Source organism: Homo sapiens, chromosome 8 (genome assembly GCF_000001405.40).
Source record: "Homo sapiens chromosome 8, GRCh38.p14 Primary Assembly".
Lineage (NCBI taxonomy): Eukaryota > Metazoa > Chordata > Mammalia > Primates > Hominidae > Homo > Homo sapiens.
In genome coordinates this window covers 51,588,008-51,606,260 of record NC_000008.11, presented here as the reverse complement: position 1 = coordinate 51,606,260, position 18,253 = coordinate 51,588,008, and the positions used below count along the sequence as shown (strand labels likewise).

Sequence of the window (18,253 nt, the reverse complement as noted above, 5' to 3'; positions counted from 1 at the left end):
AAGTTAAATAACTTTTGAGATCTCTTTATGTCTAAAACTCTGTGATACTCCATGGCAATGTCACTTCAGCCTCTCATGGCACGTATATGAGTAATTTAACAACAGGAGATTTTCTTCGTTTGCTGAAAGTTAATCTTATCACAATTCACAATCTCATAGAATCTGGCATCTTTTCTTTTTTTAAAAAGAGATCTGTCTTAGTCTATTTTATGTTGCTATAACAAGATAATATATGAATAAAATAAATTAATTTCTTACAGTTATGGAGGCTGAGAAGTCCGAGTGCATGGCACTAGCATCTCGTGAGGGCTTTCTTGCTGCCTCGTAATGTGATAGGGGGCATTACATGGTGAGAGGGCAAGAGCAAGAGAATCAGACAGCTCATTTTTATAACAAAGCCACTCTGGAGATAATGAACCCACTCCTGTGATAGCAACATTCATTCATTCATGAGGGAGATAACAAACCCACACCTTTGATAGCAACATTAACTCATTCATGAGGGCAGGGCCCTCATTAATCCATTAATTTATTCATGAGAACAGAGGGATTAAGTTTCCAACACATGAACTTTTGGGGGACACATTCAAATCCAACAACATCTAACTATAATTTTTCTTTTATTCTACATTTAGGAAATCAAATGATTCATTATTAAACTCATACATTTAAGAGCCTCATCTTCGATCTTAGATTTTAAAATGTATTTAGCAAATTGATATTAAACATAGCCTTGTGATTTTCTTTTTAATAATGAATATTTATATTAATAATTTTAATAATGACTATATCTGTATGCATTTCATATTTTTGAATTCAGATTCTTTCTTTTTTTCTTTTAAAATTACATAAAGCATATGACCATAACCCACTGGCAACAAATAGTCATATCGCCAAACCTGGAAGAAAGACCAGGAAGCCTTGGAAAATAGTAACCAATCTGACCTCTTTTATATTTCAGCAATTCTTTAAAATTACTTTATCAAATTGATAGTTTCTCATCTTGACTCATTCAAAATTATTTAATCTTGAGACCTATATGTCCATATGAGAGAAAATTATTGCTTTTCACTTAGTATATGTCATTATATCTATCATAAATATGTCCTAGAATAATATTTATATTTTATATGGTACAAGGCAATAATATAAGAAAATACAAAATTACTAGCTGCTGATCGCGGGCAATTTATAAATATTGAGTAATTCTAAAACTTAGAAGATATTTACCAAAATTAACTTGGTATTTCTGAATAGTTTTGTTTCTTTTAGTTTTACTTGGGCAAATGTGTATTTTCTAACTTTTATATAATTGTCATGGATTACTTATGTGATACATGGTAGCATTATAGTTCTACTAAAATGGAAGTCATGTGATGATGTATATTCCTAATACTATACAAACTCTGACGAGATATTTGCTCTGTGTGTCAGAAGATGACACAATAGCAGTTGCATGTGTGTTTGGATGTATATAGAGATGTATTGTGTATCCAGATACAGGATGGTAAAAAGTCTTGAAATTAATAATGTCTGAAAATAACAGAAAGACCTAAAACTGTTTAGAAGCCTAAATTTATGGGCAAATGTTTAAGTATTTTTTTTATTATTATTATACTTTAAGTTTTAGGGTACATGTGCACAACGTGCAGGTTTGTTACATATATATACATGTGCCATGTTGGTGTGCTGCACCCATTAACTCGTCATTTAGCATTGGGTATATCTCCTAATGCTATCCCTCCCCACTCCCTCCACCCCACAACAGTTCCCAGTGTGTGATGTTCCCCTTCCTGTGTCCATGTGTTCTCATTGTTCAATTCCCACCTATGAGTGAGAACATGCAGTGTTTGGTTTTTTGTCCTTGCGATAGTTTGCTGAGAATGATGGTTTCCAGTTTCATCCATGTCCCTACAAAGGACATGAACTCATCATTTTTTATGGCTGCATAGTATTCCATGGTGTACATGTGCCACATTTTCTTAATCCAGTCTATTGTTGTTGGACATTTGGGTTGGTTCCAAGTCTTTGCTATTGTGAATAGTGCCACAATAAACATATGTGTGCATGTGTCTTTATAGCAGCATGATTTATAATCCTTTGGGTATATACCCAGTAATGGGATGGCTGGGTCAAATGGTATTTCTAGTATTAGTAATGGATTTTAGGAATTGAATAATTTAACAAACTAATTTTATTATAATTTTGGAGGAAGGTTTCTTAAAGCAATTATAATATGTTGACAGTATTATGAAAAATGTACTACTTCTTTGGTTTTGGTATAGATCCAAAAAAAAGCCATATCTTTAGTACTGCTTATGATAGTAATTACTTGTGGTAAGAGAAAGCATGAGCACAGTGACACTACTTTGTCACTGCCCTGTTTCCTGATTTAGCAACAGAGTTGCCTGGTAAATATTTTCTTTACAATTTTTTCTCTTCCAACCTGACTAGTCTGAAACTATCATAATTATTAAGGGCAAAACTCTAAAAGAATGTCCATTATCATCATTATTTCAAAGCTAATTTTAAAGACATATTATCTACTATTATTAGGTCTGGGATAGAAATAAATTATAATTATGGAAAAGAGAAAGTAAAAAATCATGGTCATTACAGGATATGCTTATATAGTGCAACCCACATTCACCTTAGAAATGGTTAAAAACAATAAGGAAATATAATAAGGAAGTATAGTAACAACTGATAAGAAAAAATCAATATCCTATATTCAAAAAGTCATCTGTTACAAAATATGATGAAAGAAAATATCCAACTTAGCAAACTGGAAGATATAAGAAGTATCAATAGACTCATTAAGAACTACATAGCACACACAAGGTGACTACTTCAAAAACATACTAAGATTAAAAAGATGGTTTAGATAAGCAGAAAAATGAATGATGTTGTTAGATAGGTAAAGTCGATATGGTAAAATTTGAATATTAGTCAAAATATGCAAAGGAAATTTTTGAAGCTTGACGGATGTTCCTAAAATTTACCCAGAAAAAAATCTTTAAAATTAATCATTAAAATAATAAAAAAGAGGGGTAGAAACTATCCTATATAAAGAGTAAAATATTAAAAAACAATGATATTGGAAATATTTCCATTGCAGTATGTCTAGAAAGGGAACCAGATACATGTTGGAGATTTGCATATAATTACATTAATATTGCATATCACAGGGGAAACTATAAATATATCAATCAATAGTAATGATAATATGTAAATAATTTGGAAAAAATATTAATTCAAGATGATTCAGAGATTAAAGCATTAAAATGAAACTACAAAGCTTAAGAAAAATATTGGGATTTTAATGTAATCTTAGATTCAGGAAAGCCTAAGTATGATACAAAATCCAAAGCCATAAAGAAAAAAAACAATAAATGTTATTATATAAAAATTTAAAACATCTGTATAATAAAAACAATAAAGAAAGCTAAAAGTAGAAATTACATAAACTTTGAAAAAATAATTGTAAAACATAAACAAACGTTTAATTTTTTGCTTACAAAGGGTTTTTAATAAGTTGATAAAGAAAAGATACAAAACAAAGTGAAAATATGAGACAAAGGATTTTTTAAGTTAATGTCCATCAAAAGAAACACATGGTTCTTAACATAAATTTTGAGAATAACTAGATCTTTCTTTCAAATAACATTTGTTTCAAATAACATTTGAATTTTGAAGTCTTAGAATTTGTCACTCCTATATTTAACATGTAAATCTGCTTTTTTTGAGAAATATGCATGAAGAAAAAAGTTACCAAATTCACTTAATAATAAATTTATGTGGACTAAGCAGATAAAAGAATTTCAGAGCTTGAAGACTGGTCTTTTGAATTAACATAATCTGATTTAAAAAAAAGGAAGAAAATGTTTAAATAAGCGAAGTCTTTAAGAAATATGGGATTATGTAAAGCAAAATAACCTATGAATTATTGGTATTCCTGAGAGAGAAGGAGAAAAAGCAAACAACATGGAAAATGTACTTGGAATAATTCAAGAAAACTTCCTTAATCTAGTTGGAGATGTAGACATCTAGATACAAAAAATCTAGAGCACACCTGTGAGATACTACACAAAACAAACATCACCAAGGCGTATAGTCACCAGACTGTCCAAAATCAATGCTCAAGAAAAAAAAAATCACATACAAAGGGAAGCCCATCAGGCTAACGGCCTTGCAAGTGAGGAGAGTTTGGGGGCCTATTTTCATCATTCTTAAAGAAAAGAGATTCCAACCAAGAATTTCATATCCCACCAAAATAAGCTTCATAAATGAAGGAGAAATAAAATCTTTTCCAGACAAGCAAGTGCTAAGGGAACTTGTCACCACTAGACCAGCCTTACATGAGATTCTTAATGAAGTTCTAAACATGGAAACAAAAGAATGATACCTACTACCATAAAACACATTTAAGTGCATAGCCTACAGACCCTACATTAAAAAAAAAACCCACAATAGAAACTACTACAAAGCAAATAGCTAACAACTTTGTAATAGGGTCAAACTCTTACATATGAATATTAACCTTGAATGTACACGTTCTAAATGCCCTACTTTAAAGGCACAGAGTGGCAAGTTGGATAAAAAAAGAAGACCCATCTATTTACTGTCTTCAAGAGATTCAACTCAGACATGATGACACCGATAGGCTCAAAGCAGAGGGTTAGTGAAAAATCTGCCATGCAAATGGAAAAAAAAGCAGGAGTTGCTATTCTTATATCAGATAAAACAGAGATTAAATCAACAACAGTAAAATGAAGACAAAGAAGGGCATTACATAATGACCAAGGGTTCACTTCAACAAGAAGACTTAACTATCCTAAATATATGCACACCCAACAATGGAGCACCCAGACTTATAAAAAAAGTATTTCTGGATCTGCAATGACTTAGACAGCCACACAGTAATATTCATGAACTTCAACACCCCAACGACAACATTGGACAGAGCATCAAGGCAGAAAATTAACAAAACAAAACTATAGACTTAAACACAACCCTTGGCCAGTTAAACCTAATAAACATTACGGAATACTCCATGGATCAACCACAGAATATATATTCTCTCACCTGCACATGGAGCATACTCCAAGATTGACCATATGCTTGGCCATAAAGCAAGTATCAATAAATTTTAAAAGAATCAAAATTATACCAAGATATAACTTTATTATATCTTGATATAAGATATAATATATTTATAAGATATAATTTATATAAGATGTAATTTATTATCTAAACTATATAATTTATATAAGATATAATTAATTATATAAATTATATAATTTATAGAAGATATAATTTATTATATAAATTATATAATTTATATAAGATGTAATTATCTAAACTATATAATTTATATAAGATGTAATTTATTATCTAAACTATATAATTTATATAAGATGTAATTTATTATCTAAACCATATAATTTATATAAGATATAATTTATTATCAAAACTATATAATTTATATAAGATGTAATTTATTATCTAAACTATATAATTTATATAAGATATAATTTATCATCTAAACTATATAATTTATATAAGATGTAATTTATCATATAAATTATATAATTTATATAAGATATAATTTATTATCTAACTATATAATTTATATAAGATATAATTTATTATCTAAACGATATAATTTATATAAGATATAATTTATTATCTAAACGATATAATTTATATAAGATATAATTTATTATCTAAATGATATAATTTATATAAGATATAATTTATTATCTAAACGATATAATTTATATAAGATATAATTTATTATCTAAACCATATAATTTATATAAGATATAATTTATTATCTAAACGATATAATTTATATAAGATATAATTTATTATCTAAACGATATAATTTATACAAGATATAATTTATTATCTAAACGATATAATTTATATAAGATATAATTTATTATCTAAACCATATAATTTATATAAGATATAATTTATTATCTAAACGATATAATTTATATGAGATATAATTTATTATCTAAACGATATAATTTATATGAGATATAATTTATTATCTAAACGATATAATTTATATAAGGTATAATTTATTATCTAAACGATATAATTTATATAAGGTATAATTTATTATCTAAACGATATAATTTATATGATATAATTTATTATCTAAACGATGTCATTTATATAAGGTATAATTTATTATCTAAACGATGTCATTTATATAAGGTATAATTTATTATCTAAACGATGTCATTTATATAAGGTATAATTTATTATCTAAACGATGTCATTTATATAAGGTATAATTTATTATCTAAACGATGTCATTTATATAAGGTATAATTTATTATCTAAACGATGTCATTTATATAAGGTATAATTTATTATCTAAACGATGTCATTTATATAAGGTATAATTTATTATCTAAACGATGTCATTTATATAAGGTATAATTTATTATCTAAACGATATCATTTATATAAGATATAATTTATTATATAAACGATATCATTTATATAAGATATAATTTATTATATAAATGACATCATTTATATAAGATATAATTTATTATATAAATGATATCATTTATATAAGATATAATTTATTATATAAATGATATCATTTATATAAGATAATTTATATAAGATATAATTTATTATATCTTGATATAAGAATAGCAACTCATACCCTTGGGCCACAGTGGAATAAAAATATATATCAATTTCATTTCTCAAAACCTCACCCTTACATGGAAATTAAACAACTTGTTTCTGAATGACTTTTGGGTAAACAATGAATCAGAAATCAAAAAATTATTGGAAATAAATAAAAACAGATACATAACATATCAAAACAAAAGCAATGTTAAGAGGAAAGTTGAGAGCAATAAATGCCTACCTCAAAAAATTAGGAAGATCTCAAATTAACAATCTGATATCACACCTGGAAAAATGAGAAAAACAAGAACAAACTAACCCTAGAACTAGCAGGAGAAAAGAAGTAAATAAAATCAAAGCAGAAATGAATAAAACTGAGACCCAAAATCCATACAAAGAATCAACAAAACCAAAAGTTGGTTGTTCAAAAAGGCAAACAAGATGGATAGACCACTAGCTAGATTAACAAAGAGAAAAAGAGAAGATCCAAATTAGCACAATGAGAAATAACAAAGGAGATATTACAACCAATCCTACAGATATACAAAAGATCCTCAGAGACTGTTATGAACACCTCTATATACACAAACTAGAAAATCTAGAGGAAATTGATAAATTCCTGTAAGCACACATCTCCCAAGATTGAATCAGGAAAAAATTGAAATACTGGATGGGCCAATATCAACTTCCAAAATTGAATCAGTAATAAAAACCTGTCAACCAAAATAAGCCTTGTACCAAATGGATTCACAGCCGAATGCTACCAGATGTACAGAAAAGAGTTGACATGAATTCTGCTCAAACCTATGTTAGAAAATCGAGGAGGCACCTTTCCATAACTCATTCTCTGAAGCCAGCATCACCTAGATACGCACATCTAGCAAAGATACAATAAAAAATGAAACTACAGGCCAATATCCCTGATGAACATAGATATAAAATTCCTCAACAAAATACTAGCAAACTGAATCCAGCAGCACATCAAAAAATTAGTTCACCATGATCACATATGCTTCATTTCTGGGATTCAAGATTGGTTCAGCATATGAAAATCAATAAATGTGAGAATGTGATTCACCACATAAGCAGAATTAAAAAAGAAAAACCATATGATAATCTTAATAAATGCAGAAAGAGCTTTTGATGAAATTCAACGTCCCTTCATAATGAAAACTCTCAAGAAACAAGGCATTAAAGGAATCTACTTCAAAATAATAAGCCATCTATGATAAGCCCACAGCCAACATCATACTGAACAGGCAAAAATTGGAAGCATTCCCTTTGAGAACTGGAATAAGACAAGGAAGCCAACACCCATCATTCCTATTCAAAATACTACTAAAAGTGCTAGCAAAAGCAATCAGGCAAGAAAAAGAAATAAAAGGCATCAAAATAGGAAAAAAAGTCAAACTACCTCTCTTTGTGGACAATATGATTTTATGCCTTAAAATTCTAAAAATTCCACCATAAACCTTCTGGAACTGATAACAAAGTTCAGGATACAAAATAAACATACAAAAAGTAGTAGTAGCATTTTTATACATAAATTACCTTCAAGCTGATAGCCAAATTAAGAGTGCAATCCTAGGCCAGACGCAGTGGCTCATGCCTGTAATCCCAGTACTTTGGGAGGCCAAGGCAGATGGATCACCTGAGGTTGGGAGTTTGAGACCATCCTGACCAACATGGAGAAATCCCTTCTCTGCTAGAAATACAAAATTAGCCAGGCATGGTGGCACATGCCTGTAATCCCAGCTACTCGGGAGGCTGAGGCAGGAGAATTGCTTGAACCCAGGAGGCGGAGGTTGCGGTGAGCTATGATCGCACCATTGTACTCCAGCCTGGGCAACAAGAGTGAAACTCCATCTCAAAAAAAAAAAAGAAAAAAAATGCAATCCTATTTACAGTAGACACATACACACACATAAACACACACACACACACACACAAATACTTAGAGATATATCTAACAAAGGAAGTGAAAGACCTCTACAAGGAAAACAAAACAAAAAAAACTGCTAAAAGAAATCACAGATGACACAAGCAAATGGAAAAATATTCCATGCTCATGGATTGGAAGAATCAATATCCGCTAAAATGGACATTCTGCTCAAAGTGACCTATAGATTCAATGCTATGCCTAGCAAAGTACCAGTGTAGTTTTTCACAGAATTGGAAAAAAACTATTCTAAAATTTATATGAAACCCTAAATACCTCCAAAAACCAAAGCAATCTTAAAAAAAGAACAAAGCCAGAGGCATCACATTACCCAACTTCAAACTATATTAGAAGGCCACAGTAACCAAGACAGCATTGTACTGGTACAAAAACAGACACATAGACCACTGGAACAGAATACAGAGACTTGAAATAGGGCCACACACCTACAATCATTTAATCTTTGATGAAGTCGACATAAACAAGCAATGGGGAAAAACTCCCTATTCAATAAATGGTGCTAGAATAGCTGGCTAGCCATATGTAGAAGAATGAAACTTGACCCCTACCTTTCACTGTGTACAAACATTAACTCAAGATGGATTAAATATTTGAATCTAAGACGTCAGACTCTAAGAATTCTAGAAGAAAACCTACGAAATACCATCTGGGCATGGGCATTGGGAGAACATTTTTGACTACGTCCTCAAAAGCAAATGCAAAGAAAACAAAAATCAACAAGTGGGCCCTAATAAAAATAAAGAGCTTCTGCACAGCAAAATAAACTAAAAACAGAGTAAACAGACAACCTACAGAATGGGAGAAAATATCTACAAACTGTGCATCCGATAAAGGTCTACTATCTAGGATCTTTAAGGAACTTAAACAATTGAACAAGCAAAAAACAAATAACCTCAATAAAAATGGGCAAAGGACATGAACAGAGACATCTGAAAAGAAGGCATACATGTGGCCAACAAATGTATGATAAAATGCTCATCATCACGAATCATCAGATGAAAGCAAATCAAAACCACAATAAGATACTACCTCTATAATAATAGTCAGAATGGCTATTATTAAAAAGTAAAAAACAGCAACAGCTGTGGTTGAGGCTGTGGAGAAAAGGGAATGCTTATACAGTGTTGATGGGAAAGTAAATTAGTTCAGCCACTGTGGAAAGCAGGTTGGAGATTGCTCAAAGAATTTAAAACAGAACTACCAGTTGACCCAGCAATCCTATTACTGGGTATATATCCAAAAGAAAACATATCGTTCTACCAAAAAGACACATATGCTCATATGTTAATCACAGCTCTCTACATAATAGCAAAATCATGGAATCAACACAGGTGTTCATCAGTGGTAGACTGGATAAGGAAAATGTGGTCCATATACACCATGGAATACTATGCAGCCATAAGAAGAATGAAATCATGTTCCTTGCAACAACATGGATGCATCTGGAAGTCATTATCCTAAGTGAATTAATGCATGAACCAAAAAAACAAATACTACAGGTTTTCACTTATAGGTGGGAGCTAAACACTGGATACTCGGACATAATGAGGGCAACAATAGACACTGGGGATTACTAGAGTGGAGAGGAAGGGAGGGTGGCAAGGGCTGGAAAACTATTTGGTACTATTCTCAGTACCGGGGTGATGGGATTATCCATACCCCAAACCTCAGAATCATGCAATATACCGAGGTAACATATCTGCACATGTGCCCCCTGAATCTAAAATAAAAGTTGGTAAAAATAATAAATTTATATTCTTTAAATCAGCCTGATGACTTCCTTTCCTTGCTCATTTTCCTCTTTTTTTTTCCTACAGTTTTGAACTGCAAATGATTTATGCGTTGTTTATGATCACATAAATATTTTTCTGTGGCTGTGACAGATTATCAAGGGTAGCTATAAGTGACTTTTGCCATGAATCTCTTGCTTGGTGACTATGCAAATCACTCCAGAATAATGGTTTATGCTCACTGAAAGTTTCATACTATGTTTACTTTGGTACGCACAGAAATGAAGTTCACAACCCTTTCATGTTAACAGTAGCAGAACCATATTTCTGGAGTATCCAAATGAAAATAAGCATAACCATAACAAGCAGGAACAGACCAACATGATTGCCCCTTACAAAAAATATATTATTTGCATTTAAATGTAGAGATAATGATTCACTTGTGGAGTAAATCTTGGCATTATCCTAGTAGAAATTTTATGTGAGGTGGGAGAGAGTTCTATTTTTCTTTATAAATTTTATTATTTTTATTTTTTATTTTACACTTTGATGAATTGATGACTATGCAAATAGCCTTAATCTTTTCTAGCAGTCATTTATTGGTTTTTAATAAAATATTTCCAACCACACAGTATACATTTCTATACTAGTAAATATGCAAGTGTATATGGGCATACTCTGGGTAAGGCTTTGTGTTTCAGCAAAAAACAGCTAATAAACTGGGCCATTGGTCCATATTGCTGGTTCCTCTTTTACCCCAAAAGTTTGATCATCAGTATATTCAGATATCCTGTTTTCAGAAATTGTTTTATTTTCTCAATAAAAACTGTAACATTTTTACATTTTCTTCTTGAGAGTTTTGCTTGCCTCTTTTTTGTTTTGTTTTGTTCGCTTCTTTTTTGTTTTGTTTTGTTCCTTTGGCATCATGGGCATCATGAGGATATAGGGTACAGCCACAAATTTCCCTATGCTTGTGCTGAGTTTTGATGAAATAATGTTAGGTATTGTTTTACGCCCTGAATTTTAGCAGACCCACTCATACATTTTGAATGCATTTTCTTTCTGAATAATAAAACAACATAACATAAATGACCGTTTCTATAACCACTTAACCAAAACATTACTTGGGTAAGGTTCCAACCATTAAAATTATAATAAAGATATTTTGATGGAAACCATAATGCTTTGAATAAAACTTGACAAGAAATATGTACTTGTGATTGGAAAATACATTCAACTGTGAACCATTTTAATGAGTTGATTTCTTGTCAGCAATAAAAAAATTCTCAAGAAAACAAGTTAAATTGTTTGATCTCATACTTTAGGTTATGCACATCATAATTTCAGTGTAATTTTTTTGAAATCTTATGTTTCATTTTTGTTAAAATTTAAATAACTCTAAAAGAATATGCAGAAACCTAGGCTTCAAGCACATTTAATATACTGAAGAAAGACTAATTATGGTATGTAATATCTTTTCCGTTTCTAATTGTGGCTTTGAAAGATAATTAACACTAATGCCCAAAGACACCTTTTGTATGAAATGAGTCAATTTCTCTCTCCTAGGCACCACCGTTGGAAGATTTAAGAAAATAGTCACTCAAATTGTTTTTTGTGATCTGTGATTAATATGAGGTTGAGACTATATACATGTGTCACATACCACACATACACATGCATCATAGCAGACATGCAAATTACATACACACATGCACATATGTATGTATACACACGTATAGTTTATTCTACATGCATTGGTGCATGTTGTATTTAATAGACTAAGGTGGACAGAATAGTCATTTCTTCAAGTAAATATATTTGCATGGTGGTGGTTTGGGAAACTAACAGAAGTGCATTAATTGATTTTGAACAATAGAATGGGAGAGTGCCTAAACAGCAAATTCTCCCAGGACAAGGTTTGTGTCTGGTATTAATTACACATTAACTAGTTATATTGCTTTCAGCCTGTTTAAAAATTCCTTGAACACATGGTGGACTATAAAGTTGAATGGCTCATTGACTGAAGCTTAGAATTATCCATGAAAATTGACATTATCTCTGTATGGCATCACCTCCAATGCAAGCTGTAGATTGGTTGTTCTGCCTCCCAATGGCCAGGACACCAGGCAGTCACAAATGGTGAGAAATGGCTCTGGTGCCATAGGTGAGGTGTCAGCCACTTCAGATGCTGTTTGGGGAATTTAACAGTGAGGCCTACAGTGAATCAGTTAGGAACAGATGAGCTTGGGGATCTCTAGGCTGCCTGTGAAATTGTGCATAATAACTGAAATAATCACCTGCTCCAGTGGCCAAAACACTTCTGTTTTCCTAATCATTCATACAAAAACCCCACAAAACAAATATTTTGTAATATGCTAAAAGTGAATCCTCCAGCATTGGACTTCGGCAGTAGATTTTTAAAAGCTTTGAGGGTTTTAGACATAGAATATTCAGGAACATGTGTGCCAATCTAATTAGCAGACTTTCCCTCTATATTTAGACATGCCATAATAATTTAAATTTGAAAGAAATTTTAAGTGTTTTTACTAGAAAAAAATTTATAATTTTCATTTGCCAGGGTGCTTTTACTGAAGCTTTCAAGGTTACTGCAAGTTGATTTTTCAGTAACTTGTTTTACGGTTCAAATTCGATTTATTTCTGCCACCTATTATTTTTCTCCCTGGATTTTTTAGAAATCGTTTTTGGACCACTGGATACTACTATAATAAGAGCCTCACTTCCTATGGTGTAATTGACTCTTGGTTTGACAGTTTAACAAATACACAATGAAAGTCTACTGTGTGTCAATATCTGTGATATTTATTTTTCCAAGGAAGATGCTTAAGCCTGAGTGTTCAATACTCTCCATCTGTTTAGGAATATGTTCCTTTGTTACCATGACTATGTTGATAATTTTCTTTTTAGATGGTATGCTTCAGGAGAACAAGAATTTTACCTCTGGGTTGCAGTGTTGTTTTAGGAGTGTTTTAGGGTAATTTAATGAATATAAATTATTTTAAAGTCTTTGTGACAAATTAATGTTTTATATCACTTTTTTGAATAGGGAATTAAAGTATAAATTTCCAAATTTAGTGAACCATGTCAGTAAATATTTTTCTGTTGTGTAAAGCACTATACTTAGCAGAACTATTTTAATGTTTGCAGAGTCTGTTTCTCATTTGGGAATTATTTGTTTGTTTTTGCTTTTTCAGTCTGCTGAACAACAACCACATCAGAAAGATTTCCAGAAATGCTTTTGAAGGACTTGAAAATTTGCTATATCTGTAAGTTATAAGAAAAAACAACAATGCCTTATGGTGTTGTTTGACTATTTTTGCCTTTTTTGTGTGTGTTTACTTTAAATTAAAATAATTCTTTACCTTCGTGAAAAGCAGTTTCAACCTTTATATAAAACTCACATATGAACATGTCTTAAGTGCAATAAATTATTGCTTTCAATAGATTGTGCATCTGAAAATATTCAAATATTTATGCACATTTCTCCTGCCACAAGTTCTAAATTGGAGAAAAATAAAAACAAAACAGTTTTCCAATATTTCACATTCAAATTTAATTACTCAGTAATTTAAAAAAATTCCATACACACAGAAAAGGGTTTTTTTGTTGTTGGCTAAAGGAGCTTTATGCCAACAGAGTATCTATCCAAGACCTTCCAAAGCCAGTGAACACATTACAGTTAGTTAGGAACTTTAATAAACTTGGGTAAGGACCAAATTTCTGAAAAATTAGGTCACAAATATGATCACTGACAATTGTCATGGTTTTTGTGTATTATTGGTAAATGGGAATAAAGATATTTTAAACAACTGCCTGTTTGACTCAGAAACATTGGTGTTTGGTAATTTGAATGTTGGGAGGTCATGATTGGATATGGTTATGTTGGAGGCTGAAGAAACAAACTACAAGGGCTTTTATCTCAGCTAGAGTGAGTGCTACAACTTTCTTTTTAAAAAAATGTTAAGGCAATAATGGGCCGGGCACGGTGGCTCACGCCTGTAATCCCAGCACTTTGGGGAGGCCCAGGCGGGCGGATCACGAGGTCAGGAGATGGAGACCATCCTGGTTAACACAGTGAAACCCCGTCTCTACAAAAATACAAAAAAATTAGCCAGGCATGGTGGTGGGCACCTGTAGTCCCAGCTACTCGGGAGGCTGAGGCAGGAGAATGGCGTGAACCCAGGAGGCGGAGCTTGCAGTGAGCCGAGATGGCGCCACTGCACTCCAGCCTGGCCAACAAAGTGAGACTCTGTCTCAAAAAAAAAAAATGCTAAGGCGATAATGAACATTTTTATACAAATATGTTCATCTGCAGATTAATTAAGCATACTGCTAAAAAGTTAATTATTCTCTTAAAGAGAAGACACCATTCCAATCTTTAGCTCTGACCAAATTTATACAACTGTAGTATCTCCCGAAACCACTGAAATTCCTGTTAAACCCAGGTCAAGAGCCTCAAAGCCTCCTGTGTTCAGCTGAGACACCTCAGCCTAACATAGAGGTCTCCCACAGCTCTGCTAATTACTGAGTCCTAAAGTTTCAGTTTCCTCTTAGTTTAGTCAATTCCATCTGCTCGCCTAACCTTTCATAACAAATCTAACATACCGTCTTAGTCAATTTTCTGCTGATGTAACAGAATACCACAGACTAGGTAATTAATTTTTTTAAAAAAAGTTTATTTGGCTCATCATTCTGGAGGCTGGGAAGTCCAAGATCAAGGGGTTGTATCCTAACATGATGGAAGGACAAATGAGCATACAGACATGGAGAAAAAGGGGGGTTGAAATCCCTCAATCACTAATCCACTCCCATGATAATGGCATTATGGCATTTATAAGGGCAGAGCCCTGATGACCTAATCACTTCTTAATAGTCCCTCCTCTTAATACCATCACAGTGACAATTAAATTTCTATATGAGTTTTAGAGGAAACAAACATTTAAACTGTAGCATTCTGCCTCTTCGCCTCACAAAACTCATGTCCTTCTTATATACAAAAATACATTTATTCCATCTCAGTGGCCCCAAAAATCTTGACTTATTTTAGCACAAACTCAAAAGTCCAAAGCCCAGAATCTCATCTGAATCTGGTATGGGTGAGACTCAAGGTGTGATTCATCCTGAGGCAAATTCCTCTCCAGCTGTAAGCTTGTGAAATAAAAAAAAACAAGATATCTACTTCCAAAATACGACAATGTTGCTGGCATGTGATAGACATTCCCATTACAAAAGGGAGAGATAGGCAAAAAGAAAGGAGCAAGAGGCCCTAAGTTAATCCAAAATCTAATAGGGAAAACAATGTTAAACCTTAGACTTCCACAATAATCATTTACTCCATTTGCCACCTTCTGGACATGGGGAATTTGGGTCTCCAAAGCCTCAGGTGGCCACGACCCCATGTCTTTGCTGGGCTCAGCCATGCTTCAGTTCTCTTGGGTTGGAGTCTCATGCCTATGACCTTCCCAGGCCGGAGTTTCCACTCTGGCTATAGGTGGCCCTGTAGCTCTGGGGTCTCAGTGGCAGCCCCAATCCCACGGATCCACTAGGCTTTGCCCTAGTGAGCACTCTCTGTGGAGGCTCTACCTGTGGCAGGTTTCTGCTTGGGTTCTCAGTTTATTTGGTACATCCTTTGAAATCTAGGTGAAGGGAGCCCTACTCCCACAGCTCTTGTATTCTGTGAGCCTGGAGACTTATACCATGTGGACACTGTCAAGGCTTACTGCATGCACACTGCAGGAACCCACTTAGGCTATAGGTGGGGTTGGCTGAGTCATGCACTGTGCTGGAACACAGGAAGCAGAGACCCAATGTGGCTCTGAGCAGCAAGTCCATGGAAGGTATCTTGAGCCCATTCCCTGAAACTATTCTGTTTTTCTAGAGCTCAGGGCCTGCGATGGGAAGGGGTAGCCTTGAAGGCCTCTGAAATGCCTTTGAAGTCTTTCTCCTGTTCACTTGATGAATAGCACCTGAATCACTATCTGTGATAACCTCTTTAGCAAATGGTCACTTGGGCACACCTGTAGTATTCTCTCTTTTACATGCTTTTTTACTCTTTACATGGCCAGCCTGCAAATTTTCCAAATCTTTCTGTTTTTTACCTTTTAATTATAAATTCCATCTTTAAGTTTTTTCCTCTAGCTTCTCAATGCATGTGGTTAGAAGTAGCCATGCAGCAACCTGAGTGCTCTGCTCTTTAGATATTTCTCGCATGAGACATCTTAGTTAATCACCCTTAAGTTCTTCATTCCATAAAGTCCTAGGACACCAACACAATTCAGCCAAGTTCTTTGCAACTGTGTAACAGGGTGACCTTTAATCCAGCTTCCAATAACTTGTTCTTCATTTCTGTCTGAGACCTCATGAGAATGGCTTTTACTGTCCATATTTCTATCAACATTCTGGCCATGACCGCTTAATATCTAAGACATTCCATACCTTTTCTACAGATTCTTCTTTCTTCTAAGCCCTTAACAGAATCACCTTTAACATTCTGTTCATGGCAATCTAGGGTTTTTCTAGCCTACTCCTCCAGACTCTTCTAGCCTTTACCCATTACCCAGTTCCAAAGCTACTTCTGCGTTGTTTGGTATCTGTTAGAACAACAGATCCACCTCTCAATACCAATTATCTGTCTTAGTTTTCTGCTACTGTGAGAGAACACTACAGACTGGGAAATTTATAAAGAAAAGTTTATTCGACTCATGGTTCTGGAGGCTGGGAGCTCCAAGACTGAGGGGCTGCATCTGGAGAGGGCCTTCTTGCTGTGTCACAACATAGTGGAAGAACAAACAAACACACAAGACAGAGAGAAAAAGGGCCAAACGTCTGTGATAACCAACTTACTCCTGTGATAATGGCATTAACCCATTCATGAGGGAAGAGTCCTCATGACCTAATCACCTCTTAAAGGTCTTATCTCTTATCATAGTTACACTGGAAATTAAATTTCAGTGAATTTTGGATGGAATATTAAAACCATAGCACTTGCCCAGGTGCATGCCATTCTTTATTTCCATATTTTACATATTACTAAGGATCCTTCAAACTTTGGGGGTGTGCAAAGCCTGCTCCTCATTAGTGAAGGAGCTTGACCTTCTCCCTGTGTTTCATCTCAATCCTGCTCTGTAGTTCTCTACTCATGGGCATGTCACGAGTAACTCCCTTAGAGTAAGACAAACAAATTAATAAAACAAAACAAGAACCTTTATGGCTTTTCAAATATCCATTTAGAAGGAATCTCATTACTAGCACTAATATTCAATGAGGAAATAAGTAAAATGACAGTTATTAGCAGGAAATTAATTTTGAATAAGACAGATGTTCAATGTTGCAGAGGCTTGGATCAATTACATACACAAGTGTATTCTCTGCTCTGAGTGAGAACAAAAAATCATTTCACACAACTTCTAATCAATGCTCTGGCCAATTAAAAACACTAGTTATTAAGTGAAAAAAGAGTCTGGGCTCTTGTAAGACATGTTATTTAAAAGGCAAGGATAACAGATGTGTGAAGCAGTACATGGTGAACACATTCATGTACCCACTGCAGTAAATTTTGCCATGTTTTCAATAACATTGCCAAGTAACCATTGCCTTTCAAACCAGGGAATTTTGTAGAGAAAGAGGGTTGTGAGTTAGAAGACCCATTCAATGCATACAGTATCTGCAAGTTCTTATATCTTTTCTTTGCTCTTTATACTTGATCCATTGCTCTTTTATTTCTTCAAATATGGTAAGCATTGCCTTTCTACTCTCTGACCCTGGGCATGTCCTGCTTATTGTTTGTTCCTTGGCTATTTTCCCTTTCTTGTCCCAGCTTTAATGTCATGTCCTCTAGCAATCACCTTAAGCCAACCAGTACTTCTCTTTTTCTCCCTAACATGGT

At 33.2% G+C, this 18,253-nt stretch overlaps 1 protein-coding gene across 7 annotated transcripts in view; it reads left to right on the top strand.

Moving 5' to 3' along the window:
• PXDNL (peroxidasin like) overlaps positions 1-18,253 on the top strand; it is a 489,869-nt gene that overhangs the window by 203,185 nt on the left and 268,431 nt on the right. For 6 of the 7 annotated variants that reach the window (XR_007060701.1, XM_047421365.1, XM_047421366.1 and 3 more), the window contains one exon: positions 13,563-13,634. The exons of the other annotated variant lie outside the window; for it this stretch is intronic. Coding sequence is in view for 4 of the 6 variants with exons in the window: in XM_047421365.1 (XP_047277321.1) it covers positions 13,563-13,634 (72 nt within the window). In the remaining 2 variants the exon portion in view is untranslated. The remainder of the gene's footprint in view (positions 1-13,562; positions 13,635-18,253) is intronic. 7 annotated transcript variants of the gene reach the window in all.